The sequence below is a fragment of the Homo sapiens genome, chromosome 13 (genome assembly GCF_000001405.40).
Source record: "Homo sapiens chromosome 13, GRCh38.p14 Primary Assembly".
NCBI classification, from domain to species: domain Eukaryota; kingdom Metazoa; phylum Chordata; class Mammalia; order Primates; family Hominidae; genus Homo; species Homo sapiens.
Window position 1 is genome coordinate 110,441,624 of NC_000013.11, and position 14,574 is coordinate 110,456,197.

At 48.2% G+C, this 14,574-nt stretch overlaps 1 protein-coding gene across 1 annotated transcript in view, besides 6 other annotated features; it reads left to right on the forward strand.

The window, feature by feature from the left end:
* Positions 1-14,574, forward strand: part of COL4A2 (collagen type IV alpha 2 chain) — a 205,926-nt gene that overhangs the window by 134,340 nt on the left and 57,012 nt on the right. The window contains exons 17-20 of the mRNA NM_001846.4: positions 4,206-4,259; positions 5,175-5,241; positions 8,056-8,166; positions 8,682-8,831. Coding sequence (NP_001837.2) covers positions 4,206-4,259; positions 5,175-5,241; positions 8,056-8,166; positions 8,682-8,831 — 382 coding nt within the window. The remainder of the gene's footprint in view (positions 1-4,205; positions 4,260-5,174; positions 5,242-8,055; positions 8,167-8,681; positions 8,832-14,574) is intronic.
* Positions 2,870-2,919: an enhancer, noted in NCBI's record as "active region_7992". NCBI's record gives its function as "activates an Ori minimal core promoter by ATAC-STARR-seq in GM12878 lymphoblastoid cells {active_cell/tissue: GM12878}" and the evidence as "EXISTENCE:reporter gene assay evidence [ECO:0000049][PMID:35858748]".
* Positions 2,990-3,179: an enhancer, noted in NCBI's record as "active region_7993". NCBI's record gives its function as "activates an Ori minimal core promoter by ATAC-STARR-seq in GM12878 lymphoblastoid cells {active_cell/tissue: GM12878}" and the evidence as "EXISTENCE:reporter gene assay evidence [ECO:0000049][PMID:35858748]".
* Positions 4,344-4,844: an enhancer, noted in NCBI's record as "H3K4me1 hESC enhancer chr13:111098314-111098814 (GRCh37/hg19 assembly coordinates)". NCBI's record gives its function as "activates a minimal SCP1, AML or CMV promoter by ChIP-STARR-seq in naive H9 embryonic stem cells {active_cell/tissue: H9 hESC(naive)}" and the evidence as "EXISTENCE:reporter gene assay evidence [ECO:0000049][PMID:30033119]".
* Positions 4,845-5,345: an enhancer, noted in NCBI's record as "H3K4me1 hESC enhancer chr13:111098815-111099315 (GRCh37/hg19 assembly coordinates)". NCBI's record gives its function as "activates a minimal SCP1, AML or CMV promoter by ChIP-STARR-seq in naive H9 embryonic stem cells {active_cell/tissue: H9 hESC(naive)}" and the evidence as "EXISTENCE:reporter gene assay evidence [ECO:0000049][PMID:30033119]".
* Positions 6,332-7,531: an enhancer, noted in NCBI's record as "BRD4-independent group 4 enhancer chr13:111100302-111101501 (GRCh37/hg19 assembly coordinates)". NCBI's record gives its function as "activates an origin of replication core promoter dependent on BRD2, P300/CBP, MED14 and CDK7 cofactors, and independent of BRD4, by STARR-seq in HCT116 cells {active_cell/tissue: HCT116}" and the evidence as "EXISTENCE:reporter gene assay evidence [ECO:0000049][PMID:35650434]".
* Positions 14,423-14,472: an enhancer, noted in NCBI's record as "active region_7994". NCBI's record gives its function as "activates an Ori minimal core promoter by ATAC-STARR-seq in GM12878 lymphoblastoid cells {active_cell/tissue: GM12878}" and the evidence as "EXISTENCE:reporter gene assay evidence [ECO:0000049][PMID:35858748]".

Here is a 14,574-nt window from a genome sequence, read left to right on the forward strand (position 1 = left end):
TAGGAAAAGCAAATATTGTAAAGGGACAGAGGCTAAAGCAGACATTATCGTTCAAAAGTAACCCGTTTCCACCTACCCCATGTGATTAAAGTGCTGCTGTTAATTTCCTACCATGTGCTGGTAAAATTATAATTATCTTTAGTTTTCCATCTTCAACACAAGGGACTTGTAGTATTTAAAAGTGCATTTCCAGGTGCCTGTAATCCCAGCAGTTTGGGAGGCCAAGGTGAGTGGATCATAGAGGTCAGGAGTTCAAGACCAACCTGGCCAACATGGTGAAACCCTGTCTCTACTAAAAATACAAAAAAAAAAAAAATTACCTGGGTGTGGTTCATGCCTATAATTCCAGCTACTCAGGAGGCTGAGGCACGAGAATTGCTTGAACCTGGGAGGCAGAGGTTGCAGTGAGCCAAGATCGCACCACTGCACTCCAGCCTGGGAGAGACAGTGAGACTCTCTGTCTCAAAAAAAAAAAAAAAAAAAAAAAAAAAAGGGCAGTTCCACAGAGCTGCTCCCTGGAACTCCAAAGTTAATGAAAGACAAGATGCTGTGTAAACAGTGGCCACCTGGCAGCTCCAGGGCTGGGGCCCAGATGTGAGGATGGTGAGGCGTCAGGCTTTCATTTCCCAGCTTACTTTCTGCAGTTGCAACAACTTGCGAAGATGCAGATATTTCCAGTTAAGTGGGTTACAGGGAGGCAGTTTACTCAACTATAGAAATGGGAAATAGGCAGACATACACAAATGACGCAGCCGCCGTGCTTGTGAGCACCGATCTGCACCACAGCTATGTCCGCCCTCTGCCATCCCACTGGCCAGGTGGCCATCACTCCATGACTTTCATTTGTTCCCCACCCAACACCTCCCCCTAGACACCAAAAGCCCCTCCAAGGAGCAACTGCTCGGTGACATAAACAGTGCATCAAAATGGGAGGAACCAGAAAAGAAAAGATATCCTGGGTAGGAACTTGCCCTCCTCTACATAAACACAGAATTGGTTGCCTGTCATCCCCACTGAGATTGTCAGAACTTCTATTAGTTCCAGCCTTTTCTAAAAAGGAATGGAGACGTAGCATTTATGAATTTGGTTATATTCAATTTTCTGATAAATTAGAGATGGTTTCGTCTCCTCTTTCTAGGGGAAACATATCTTTAGTAACTGAGCAAATGCTGTCCACAGTGTTATTTTATAATTTTGAAATAACTCCACAGAGTTATTTTATAATTTTGAAATAACTCCACAGAGTTATTTTAAAAAGTGTTCGTTGAGACCTAGTCTCCTTTGAGGAATACATGCCACACCAACACGCGTCGTGTTGTGGGAAGTCCCCCCTCAATAGGACCATTGTCCTCTATGAGGACTGTCCAGGACTTCAGGGATGTTGCATTTGCACAGGCTGCAGTGTCGATGACTTGGACTCACCAGATGCAGCCTCAGTGTTCCCTGTGGCTGTGTGTAGGTTTCCTCTGCAAAGCTTGAAGTGGCAGACATGACCTCAGATTGAGTTCTTTTATGGAACTCTCACTGTCTTTAGTCTTTTATACTAAATCGCATCTCATTTGCAGGCTGGCAGGGTTTCTTTGCAGAGGCGCCTCTTTCAAGAGGCACATGCGTTCTATTTAGCCTAACAGGTGCTCCCTCGGCCACTGCAATGAAAAGGGTACAACAGGCAAATGAAGAACAGAAAGATAACAGGCCAGTTCACACCACGAGAGACAGCAGACTGCTTTTAAGCTTTAGAAACATGCATCTCCCTAAAAAAGCCTAGCCATACATTCTTTTCATCTGTTTGTGTCAGCTAGTCCCTGAGGACTTCTGCCCAAGGACTTTCCTTACTCCAGTTATTTCCACCCTTGAAAAACATAAAATCAACCTTGTACTTCTAAAATTGCATAATCAGAACTTCCTATGAATCATATATATGACCTCACTGAATTCAAATGAGTGATAAGTTATTAGATTTGGGGGAGGGCCGGGGAGAAAGGAGGTTGCAGTTTCAAAGCCCTTCACAGTTATCCATTCTAAAATAGTGATCTGCATGTCAGTCTCCTGACCTCAGCTTTCCCTAAGGGTGGGCTCTGTGGTGAGCTTGCTAGCAGGAGTACAGACCTTGCCTGGAAGCGGGGTCTCAGGGAGCCCGGCGGAGCCTCCACTGGGTCCTTCCCGGGGTGGTTGCCAGCCTGACTCTGGGAGCGCCTGGGTGATTCCTCCTTGGCCATCCCTGCGCCTCCCCGACCCTGTTGTGTTTGCCACTGAGAAACAGAGAGGAAAAAGTTTTGATCGTCATTTTGACTTAGGGTTCCCGCCTATCTGGGTTTCACTGCCAGTGGTCTCAGATGAACCCTGAGGGTGCATTTTCTCCTTAAGTCGTGCATAACCCTCAGCCTCCCCCGAGTCAGTTGACCTGTTGACCTGCCGCTGGGAACTCCCCTGGAAAGTTTTAGCTCATTGCTTTGGCTCTTGGGGTTCCAGCTGCCTCAGAGGAATCCTGAGTGCTTCTTAAGTTGTCCCCCTTCCCCAATGGGTTTTCTATAATGCCCAGTGCATTTCAGATGGTTCAAAGTGCCCATGCTGTCTTGGACCCTTCAGCAGAGATGGCAACACGTGGTGTCTGGGGTGCTTGTTTTGTTTGCTGAGGATGCCACAGCATAGGTGTGTGATGCTCGTGGCCCAGAGTGAAGCTCAGATTTGACAAATTCCAGGGCACCCTCTGAGCTGGCCAGTCTGTGGCTGTGCTCACAGCTCCCACTGAGTGTCCAGCTGCCAGCTCCTGTCATGCCAGGTACTTGAGGATTCCTAGCTTAGCTTATGACGTGGCCTCTAAACAGGACCTCATTTTTAAAATCACAGAAGTTTGTCTTTACTTTTGAGTCTTCAGCTCCACCTAGCGTGAGAGAAAGTCCGGGTCCAAACCACAGGACCACAACAACACACACAAAGTGAAGCCCGTCTCAATTCAGTCTAAACAACATGACTTTCAGCACACCTGCTCCTGGGTGTCAAGATAACCTCGAAAGTAATCAGAGAATGGACCTTTCTTATACCTGTGGCATCTGGCATTCTGAATTTTGAGAGCTGAACCATGCATGTTCTTTAAAAGAGGGAATACATTGCTAGATTTTTAGAGAGCTTTACTCTTCTGTCCAGATACCTCATGATATGACTCAATGATAAACTTTTTCTTTCAAAAAATGTTCAAGGGAATGAGAAAACAAAACTTAGTGTTATAGTTGTTTTCTATTTTTGAAACAGGGTCTTGCTGTGTTGCCCAGGCTGGAGTATGGTGGTACCATCACAGCTCACTGCAACCTCAAACTCCTGGGTTCAAGCGATCCTCCCACCTCAGCCTCCCAAGTAGCTGGGACTGCAGGTGCCTGCCACCATGCCCGGTTACATTATGTATTTTTTGTAGAGGCAGGGTTTCACTATGTTTCCCAAGCTGGTCTCAGACTTCTGGGCTCAAGTGATCCTCCCACCTTGGCTTCCCGAAGTGCTGGGATTACAGGCATGAGCCACCATACCCAGCAGAGATTTTTTTTAATGAAGAGAAAAAACTCTAACTTAAGAAACCTTAATGCGTCTATTTTGGTACTAAATGAAGATTTTCAAAACCTACCCTGGGAGAGAGTTTCAACAGTTGGTTCAGGTTGTCAACACCTGACCCCACGATCAATCATAAAAGCAACCCGACACTCATATCTTCTGTAGGAGAAGAGGTGCCCAGCATCCTCCGCAAATGATCCCTGCTGAAAAGGGGAACCTGCACCTAGGGCAGCCTCCAGCCCTAATGACTCACGTGGAGGAAACGTGGGGTTAGAAGAACAGATTGTACAACACCACGGGGGTGAGACTGACTGCAGCCCACCACAAAGAACATCTGCAGCACAGATGACCCAGTGTCTTCAACAACCACAAAATGATACTAAAAACATAGAAAGGAAGAAGGGACTATTGTGAATTAAGTGAGAATTCAGAGGCATAGCATCCAAGTGTTATATTTGGACTTTTTTGGCTCCTGGTTCTAGCAAAGCAACCTTAAAAAGACATTTTTGAGACCCAAGTCAGGGAAAATTGAGCACAGACTGGGTTAATACATGACTTTAATAAACTGTTGTTCATTTTGTGAGATATAATAATGCCATTGCAGTCCCTTTTTGGAGTTATACATCAGAGACAAAAATTAAAAGCAAATATCTTTCTTGCAGGGAAGCCGAGGCCTGGATGGCTATCAAGGGCCTGATGGACCCCGGGGACCCAAGGTGAGCCCGTTTCTCATGTCTTTGCCACTTATGGTGTCTCGCCCACCCTGGCTGGCCTTACTCCCCTCTTGATGGTGTCCTGTGGAGGCATCCCCTGCCCTAAAAAGTACAAGATCCCCAAATACACGGCCTCTGACACTGGACAGACGAGGTGGATGGTGACCTACGAGCCACGTGTGCTCCCTGCCAGGGAGAAGGGTGCCACCTGCCACTCAGGGCCACGTAGGGGTGCGCTCAGGCACAGAGGAAGCCAGCAGCCCTGGGGAAGGCAGGCCTTGTAGTAACAAGAGGGTGCGGTGCCCCTGGTTTCCAAGGGAGGATGTGGCTTGTGTGAGTAATTCCTGGGCTTGCAGGGAGGGGAGACCATTAGGTGGAAGACCAGGTGGGTGCTGCTGGTCTAGCTGAGAGGGGAACGCACCCGTGGGGAACCTGGGTGGGGGCACATCTGGAGAGGACTTCTGAGCCGGGTGAGGCTCAAAGAGGTGAAGGTGGTGCGCGGGATGCTGCCTTATGACAAATGCTGCCTTACGACACAGATGGCGCTCCACGGGGGTCCTGCGGCCGCATCATCTCCCAGCCCACCCTCGCCAGGCGGCTCGGCTATCACTACCCAAAATGTAATAGTCTGAACTACAGAAAGCACAGTCTCCTGGCATTCGACAAGGATTTCAAAATGAGATGAGCCCCTGCCTGTCTTGTTCTCTTTGGGCACCTGTGGCTGGTGGCTGGGATGCCAGGCTCTGCCACCCTAGCATGGGGATGCTGCCCCAGGCACTGTCTGTGGTTCCACTGGTTGAAATAGCTGCTCTGCCAGCCTGACGGTCCACGCTCGGGTTTCTTCTTTGGAAATATGTGTACTGTCAAAAACTCCAAAAGGCTATTCTCACATCCTGTTTTTCTCTTTTCTTTCTCTAGGGAGAAGCCGGAGACCCAGGGCCCCCTGGACTACCTGCCTACTCCCCTCACCCTTCCCTAGCAAAAGGTGTGTGAACAATTTCACCTGCATAGTTCAGCATCGCATACACATTCTCTCCTGTTAGGGACACAGAGCTATGAACTTTCAAGACAGATATTCTAAGCAACCCTAAAACTTAAAGTATAATAATAATAAAAAAAATAAAAAATAAACCACGAAATTTAGAACATAACTTCATGTACAATTTCCCTCATGCTTAAATGTGTCACAGGGAGACCTTCATGTTGCCTGTGCCTGAGACAGTCCTCACCACCTACACGTGAGAAATCCCCTCCGTTGGGGAATTCTTTCACTTCTGCTTAACTTGTAGAGTTCTAGTTCTGCCGTCTGGACTATCGCTGAAGATATCCAGGGCAGCAGCCCCAGCCGCCTTCGGATTTTTTCTCCAAATGCACCAAGGTTCTTAAGCCCTCTGCTTGCCAGCCCGACACCTGGAATTGATCATAACTCATAACCAGTGAACAGTCACATGCTTTCAGGCTTCAAGGCAACTAAATTCCCAGATATTTACACATAACAACCACTCCCCACTGTCACAGTTGACCTTGGAGTGTAAACGAAGGACTTTGCGCATGTCGTCACTAATGCTCATCTTGTTATTAAGGCTCGGCTTCCAAATTGGCGAGATCATATGGAAATCTGATCCTAGTCCTGCAACTAGAGCACTTGGCTCTGAACCTTGTAGAATGCGCATCCTTCTAGGTTAAAAAAAAAATGTTTCGAGAACCTCCTCCTGATAATCGTGCGTATATATCTTTGCGGATCATTGGCCCATGTTATAGTCAGCTCTGTGAGGACAGACATTTCAGCCCATCTTGTTCACTGCTGTATTCCCAATGCCTGGAACAGGACAGGCACAGAGTTGGAGCTCAGCAAACGCCTGACTGAGTGACGACGTGCAGAAACATATCAGACAGGCATTGTGAAGGGTAGGGTTTTTTAAATACAGACGCTCTGGTGTTTACCTCTTGAACTCAGCAGGTCACCTGGTCTCCCTGTCCTCTAAGCCTAGGTGTCAAGAATTCACCTCCCTGCTTCGAAGCGAGCCCTCTGTCAGTTTAATAATGGCTTTGCATGTCTTCATCCAATGCTGATCAAAACGCAGGACAGAACAGGGCCATGGGCAGTGCCTCCAGGAGCCCCTGAGATGTCTGTCTGGGGAGGCGTGGAGCCGTGAATGGGGATATTTTGAAATCCATGCTCAGCTTCCATGATGCCCGTAACTACGAAGCTGGCATTTCCTGCCTCATCCATGGCGCACACCTGGCTACCAAACCTGAGACCCACTAAAAAGAGCCATGAGCCCACTTTGACTTGACTCATTATTAATAATTTTGGTAAAAAGGAAATATGCTGTTTGAGATTTTAAGAACATAATTTTTAAGTTAATGCTGGCGATGTTTCTTTTGCATTTTTTAAAAATGTTGCTGACTGAGAACCCAACTCTCACCAACCCCTCCCTTCTCACCGTACTATATTCCTGGAATTCACACTGCAAAGGCGGGTGCTTTCAAAATTCACTTTTTCCCACAAGCGGATTCAGAAATGCGGAGGTTGCCTGCCGCCTTTTCTACCGGACAACATTCCCGAGTTATTGGTGAGCTGGAATGTGACTGACTTGCATTCCAGGGTTTCTTAAAGTCAAAGGTTGACTAACCAGCAGATTCCCTCAGGGAAAAGAGGCAGTAAATGTATCTTTTTCAAGGTAACATTGCATGAACTTGTCAAAAGACAAAAAGGATAGAGGGGTTTGTATTAAAAGAAATGATTCCAAGGTACCTAGAAATAAAAGTAATCTTGCTATTCTTCCAAACAAGTGAGAAGGTCTGTGGCTTTCAATTTTGTGTCTTTTTATGGAATCAACAATGGCTAACAGGAGTGTAGGTCACACTGTGTGCCAGGCGATGCTCCAAGTTGTCCTAGTTGTACTTTTCAGTGTGTTTACCCCTCTGGGTGACCCTGTGAGGTGGAGATGGACTTGGCTGCTTTTACTGAGGGAGAGATGGAAGCGCAGGGCGTTGAGTTCCTTGCCCAGGGTTGCCTTTAAGTGGAGGAGCCAGGTTCAGGCCCAGGGCCTCTGGCTGCGGAGCGCAGCCCCCTGCACACTCGGCACGAAGCTGCCCGAGCAGGAGACGCCATACACGGAAGTCAGGCCTTCTGTCCCTTGCACGTGGGACTTCAGTGTGACGCCCAGCAAAGCCCTCTCCTTATTTTAAGGAACTTCGTAAGACGACATGCAGAGTGAAAGCTTTCCTAGAAATTCCTAATGCCTACATGATAAAAAGTCCTATTTTCTTCTCATTCTTCTCATCTTTCCCAATTATAGTCTAGAAAAAAGTGTGTTCTACAGTAAAGCGTTGCTATTTACACAGCAAAGGAACATAGCCATGCCACTTTGTCTTTGTTTGTTCAGGGGTGAAAGTTTTTAAAAGCCAAATTTTGTTATGCATCCAGCAGACAGGGATGAGAAGAGCCTAATAGGGTTAAAGCTGGGGCTGAGGGGCAGAGTGGGGTGCAGGGAAGTGAGGCCTCCTCGCTCCCAGGCCACCAGCAGAATTGGCAACCACATTAGTTCCTTCTTTATTCGAGCTTTGGACTCACCTACTTCCTCACCCGGTTTTCACTAATCCTGTTCCCCTGCTGGAGAATGAGCCCCTTAAAAAGAGAGACCACCCCATGTATTAATCATCTTAACTCCTCATCAGGCCGCATACAGCATATGGAGCATTTGGTAAATATGTAGTCAATGAAAAAGTGAACGCCAGCTGCGATCCGTAGACCACGGTCTTGTTCTTACTGTGGGACTTGTTTCCCTTCCAGGTGCCAGAGGTGACCCGGGATTCCCAGGGGCCCAAGGGGAGCCAGGAAGCCAGGGTGAGCCAGGAGACCCGGGCCTCCCAGGTCCCCCTGGCCTCTCCATCGGAGATGGAGGTAATGTGGCTTCATAATATCAACACCGGAGACCCAAAGCACCTGCACTCAGGTCCTAGCACACACAAGGGAGACTTCGTTGACGACGTAGCTATGTCGTTGTTACTTTTCCCCACTGACTAGTCTTAGCAGCTCTAAGGAGCCCCGCACACATGCTTTGGACACCTTCACAGAACCCTCGCACATATGACAGTAACTCCCCAACTAGGTTAGATGGTGCCACGATGGGTAACTGGCATGCTTCCACCTGTGGGTTGGGAAGAGAACGGAGAATCATCAGGTGTTGTTGCCCAGTGTTGATCACAACTATCAAGCCATTATTTGAGGGGCAAGGAGAGGGGTGTTTTTAATGTTGAAAAAGGATAATGAACTATACCAATGGCTTCTACCCATCGGAGTTATTGACGGGGCCATGAAGCCCGCTAGTGCCCCAGTGGGCCCCTCTGGACACGAACACAAAGGCAGCGGTGTGGTATGGGAGACTCACGCTGCAGGTGAATGCTGTTTGGTTTCAGATCAGAGGAGAGGCCTGCCGGGTGAGATGGGACCCAAGGGCTTCATCGGAGACCCCGGCATCCCTGCGCTCTACGGGGGCCCACCTGGACCTGATGGAAAGCGAGGGCCTCCAGGACCCCCCGGGCTCCCTGGACCACCTGGACCTGATGGTGAGTGGAGGGAAACAAAAGGGAGGGTGTAGCCTAATGTTCAGATGAAGCCCGGTCCCAGCCGGATGTTATTTGGGATTCTCTGCTAAATGACTCTGGGAACGAATCCAGTAGGCCAGTGATTAGGGTGCAGTGGATCCAGGTAGATTAGGGTGTAGTGGGTGCTCTCTGGGGTCCACGCAGGAGCTGGGGATGGAAGCTGAAGCCCTGTAAGCCTGTGAGTATCACAGCCCCGTGGATGCCACACAGTGAGGTTTAGTTGCTGCAGCTTCGGTGAAATCCATCCTTCAGCGAAACATCTGAGCTGCGCAGTCTGGAAACAGATGTGAGCTGACATTGCTGCCTCTGTGTCGGGGTGATACATTCCACAAACCTAATCCAGGGTGAGGGCTCACCCTTGACTGGCAGCCTCTCTCCTGTGTTACTCCATCACGTTTAAGCCACCTTGATAATCTGCCTTCTCAGCCCGTGCACAGCCAAAGCTACAACTGAACAGGTGAGAGTAGCTGGTGACAAAAAGAGATGGCTGCATTATCTGCAAAAATAAGTGACAGCCGTCCCCCAAGGCCCAGACAAATGCCCATGAAAGTCAATAAAGCCGGCAGGCACAGGAGTGTGGACCCACCTGCCACCCAGTAGTGCATCCCTGAGTCAGCAAAGATGCTCTTTCAGGTTATAACGTTAGGTGACTCAACTTGAGTTGAGAATGACCTGTCTCAGGCAGCAGGGAAACATGCAGTCCCGCCTGGAGCTTGCTGTCAGAAAAGGCTGTTCTTTCAGCTTCAGCATTCAGAGAGTTATGCTTTAAAGACCAAGCTTGTCCAACCCACGGGCCACATGCGGCCCAGGACGGCTTCAAATACAGCCCAACAAAATTCATAAGCTTTTTAAAAACATTTTTACAATTTTTTGTAGCTAATCAGCTGTATTAGTTCGTTCTCACGCTGCTATAAGAACATACCCAAGACTGGGTAACTTATTAAAGGAAAGAGGTTTAATTGACTCACAGTTCTGCAGGGCTTGGGAGGCCTCGGGAAATTTACAATCATGGCAGAAGGGGAAGCAAACATGTCCTTCTTCGTGGCATCAGGAAGGAGAAGTAAGGAGTGAAGAGGGGAAAAGCCCCTTATAAAACTATCAGATCTCATGAGAAACTCACTCACTATCGTGAGAACAGCATGGTGGAAACTGCCTCCATGATTCCATTACCTCCTGTGAACCAGGTCCCCACCATGACATCTGGGGATTATGGGAACTACAACTCAAGATGAGATTTCAGTGGGGACACAAAACCTAACCGTATCACCAGCTAACATTAGTGTTAGTGTATTTTATGTGTGGCCCAAGACAATTCTTCTTCCAATGTGGCCCAGAGAAGGCAAAAAATTGGACACTCCTGCTTTCGATGTTGTGAAATGCCTAATAGGAATATTTCATTCTCTCACAAGAGTGAATATAGGAGACATTGGGAGAAAATAAGAGGTCATAGTCTCTTTCTGTGTGACGTTGACCAAAAGTTAACAGCCTCTTCTTTCCAAAGTAGTTTACTTTAAATTCCCTGACATTGCCCCTAATAATCTCTTACAGCCTCCTACCTTCGGGGAGGAAAAACACCATGTTTGCTAGTGGACAGTGTTTGGTTTCAGTAACAGGTCAAAGTCTCTGTTTTGTTTGTTTGTTTGTTTGTTTGTTTGTTTTGAGACGGAGTCTCGCCTGTCACCCAGGCTGGAGTGCAGTGGCATGACCTCGGCTCACTGCACGCTCCGCCTCCCGGGTTCGTTCCATTCTCCTGCCTCAGCCTCCCGAGTAGCTGGGACCCAGGCGCCCGCCACCGCGCAGCTGGGACCACAGGCGCCCGCCCTCACGCCCGGCTAATTTTTTGTATTTTTAATAGAGACGGGGTTTCACCATGTTATCCAGGATGGTCTCGATCTCCTGACCTCATGATCCGCCCGCCTCGGTCTCCCAAAGTGCTGGGATTACAGGCATGAGCCAACGCGCCCGGCCCAAAGTCTCTGTTTTAATTGTTTGTTTTTGGAAGATTACTTCTCTTTGACATATCTAGAAGGAAAATCATTAGAGTTATTAGAGGCAATGTCTTCTATTTAAAAGGTAGTAGTCACTTCTCTGTGTCTGTTTTATATTATAAAGTAAAATTTTAACTTAATATGCTTTCTACTTTCTCAATTTTTCTTCAATTAGAAAACCCACATATTCTCACATTATTCTGAAAATTTTTAGGTGCAGATATTTCCCTGGATCATGAACCTGCCAAAGAGTCTGAGCAGTGTGAACTTTATTTTTTTATTTTATTTTATTTTATTTTGAGACAGGGTCTCGCTCTGTATCCCAGGCTGGAGTGCAGTGGTATGATCTCTGCTCACTGCAACCTCCACCTCGTGGGATCAAGCGATCTTCCCACCTCAGCCTCTTGAGCAGCTGGGATTACAGGCATGCACCACCACCATGCCTGGCTAATTTTGTAATTTTGGTAGAGACGGGGGTTTCACTATGTTGCCCAGGCTGGTCTTGAACTCCTGAGCTCAGGTGATCTGCCCACCTCGGCCTCCCAGAGTGCTGGGATTACAGGTATGAATCACCACACCTGGCCTTTAATTTTTTTCATTATCCTGGACTGCTGTGATAAGAGCTAGGTTTCTATGAGCATTATATTTCCTAAGCAAATGGTATCTTTTGAGTTTTCTTTTTCTGGAGCAGAACATGACATGTTAAAAACAAAAGCATACAAATATTCCACTTTAACGGCCAGGCATGGTGGCTCACACCTGTAATCCCAGCGCTTTGGGAAAGCCGAGGGGGGCCGATCACCTGAGGTCGGGAGTTCGAGACCAGCCTGACCAACATGGTGAAACCCCATCTCTACCAAAAATACAAAATTAGCCAAGTGCGGTGGTGCATGCCTGTAATCCCAGTTACTCGGGAGGCTGAGGCAGGAGAATCACTTGAATCCGGGAGGCGGAGGTTGCAGTGAGCCAAGACCGCACCTTTGCACTCCAGCCTGGGGAACAAGAGCAAAACTCCATCTCAATTTAAAAAAAGGAAAAAAAAATCCACTTTAAAGAACGGTGATCAAAGGCTAACGTTGCCATTATTCCTGTAACTAAATTCCATTTTGATAAAGTCACAGCATATGCCATCTTGCTTTTCAAGTCTTGCTTAGTAAATCCGTGGTTTACTAGCATAAGTCAACTGCGAACAATTTAATTTCTGATCTGTAGTGTGGGCTGATGAGGAAAGTAATAAAATGAATGGCATCAGATCAATGTTAGCAGCTAAAAATGTTAAAAGCATACAACTTAAGTCCTCTAATTATATATATTACCCCTGTGAGACACATGGTTTCCAAATCAACATTTTTAAAGCAAGTTCTTATGCAAAAAGTAGTCCACCATAATGGCCTTTAGAAAATGTGTGTGTGGTTGTAGTTTAGTAGGAATGACCTTGATTCCCATGGAGTTCTCTGACTTTTCCCCTGGAATGAAATTGTTAGATTCCTCTCTTGTTAACTACATTTCATCCTGTTTTATAGGTTGCTACTGATGAAAACCAGAGTTTTTAGTCTTTTGCAGCTCCAGTAAAATCAAACCACGAAGACAGTTTTCTTTCTGGGTGAAATATTTTGCTTCCCCCTGTTCTAGTTCAGTTAGCTGAATTGAGTTCTGGGAAGTTCTGTTCCACGTAGAAAAAGTCAAAATAGGCCTGGCTTGTTTGGCCAGGGGCTCTTTGTGGAAATCATGTTGCAAACATCTAAGAGGCACACTGCTATTCTATAGGACTTATTTAAAATGACTAATATATTAGAGAAAAGGAGAGCAGCAGGGGGCAGAGGAAGGCTGTCACCCTCAGAGAGCCACTGTGTGCCTTTAGGACTAAATTTGCAAAGCATCCAGTGCTTCCATTGTAAGGAGCGCCCACAATCTCTTTGTCCTGAATGAATGACGTGTCTCAGATTGACAATGGTGACATCTCTGAAGTGTGTGTGGTTAAATTTCTCTCTACCTGCGACACTGCACGTCTCATCACACAGAGGGAGAGCTTGGAGACAGAGAACAAAGCTCACAAAAGTCCACAACTGACCGGACACGCAGCTGACCTGGTCACCGGTCACCCTTTGTCCCCAGCAGTGCGGGGTGCGGCCGCCTCTCCTCCTGAGACGCTGTCTTCTCCCCTCCACTCCCGGGAAATCCCACTGGCCCCCGACATCTCTCCCCTGAAGTCCCTGCCCCTCCCTGCACTCCCCGCCGGATGAACTCGTCCTCCACATGAAAGTACATGCAGTGTGTGCTGGTCACTCGCTCGTTTCCTCTCTGGCCCTGTTCTGTGTGCTGAGCTACTAACAGAAACCGTTAACTCGACACAGAGTCAACCCTATGCACGTGTCTCACAAATGCCTCAAGCTCTCCATGTCCAAAATGGAGCTCTGGGCCTCCTCCGTCCCCACCCCCTGCCACCCCACAGACCTCTCCCTTGGTCCTCACCCTCCTGCACAAACCCGGGAGCTCCAGCAGAGCCCTGGGCTACTCTGCCTACCTCACCCATTCTGTACTGGCTCCCTCACAATCCTGGCGGGTCCTCCACTCCAGTGCTGTGTGTGCCCTTGCTATCCACCACCACCGCCCGCGTAGCCTGCTAGGATGGCACCCGTTGTTCCTTCCCTCTCCAGCCTGTCGTCCACACGGCAGACTCACATGGCAGACCGCGTAGCCTCCCTCCTTGATGCCCTTTAATGGCTTCCTACTGCCCTCGGGGTAAAAGCCAAGTCCGGTTTCTTCCCCTCCCTTTGTGCAAATCTGCCCTTCACTCACCACTCTGCGGGCGCTGGCCTTCTGCCTATTTCAGGGCCTTTTAGAAACCCTGTCCTCACTCTGGAGCATTCCCTCCCGCTCCCCACTTCAGGGGCTCCTTTTTATTCTTTGGGCTTTAATTGAAGCATCACTTCCTCAGAAAGGACTCAGCTGACTACCCCCAAAACATTTCACTGGGCCTCTCCCTGCTGCTTTTCCCCTGTTCCCCAGCACGGGCCATAATTTGAAAATCCGCATTAGTGTGTTTCCTGCATTGTGTGTTTAATGTGTGTCTCCACGTCTAAGCTGTAAGCTCCATGAGAGTCCATCGGTTTCATTTCCAGTTGTATACACACAGCACCTCGCACACAGCCTGGCACAGCATAGGCACGGGATAAGTGTTTGATGAGCGAATGAATGAATGAGCTATGGTAAACGTGCAGTGAGCAAACTACATGGGACGGTATCCATGTCCTCATTCTCATAGACATTTATCCTCACCTGGCAGTTCTCTGACTTGCAAACTCCCGTGCTCTTTTCCAAGCAGATAGCTGGGTTCTTTAAAGTTGGAGTTTTCTCACCTTCCTGTGTGTAACGGCCTCATCCCCTGCTCCTCTCAGGTTCCATGTAGTGTGTATAGCAACATGCCTTTTAATTTGCTGGGGGAGTGCCATTTGCCCATTGGAGCTCTGGCCCTATTATTTAACAGTGAGGAGGACAGATAGCTGCAGGGCACACCTGCAGAGCCTGCCCCCAGCAGCAGCTTGTGTGTCTTGCAGACACACACCCTCCTCCTGCCACGAGATGGCACTCTTCTTCTCCAGTGCGATGGCGCGCTCTTTGCTGGTGTGAAGAGCACCGTGTTTCTTGCACCGTCATCATCAGGGATGCCCCCGCCGGGATCATTGAGCCCTGCAGGAGCTAGTGGGGAGAGGTTT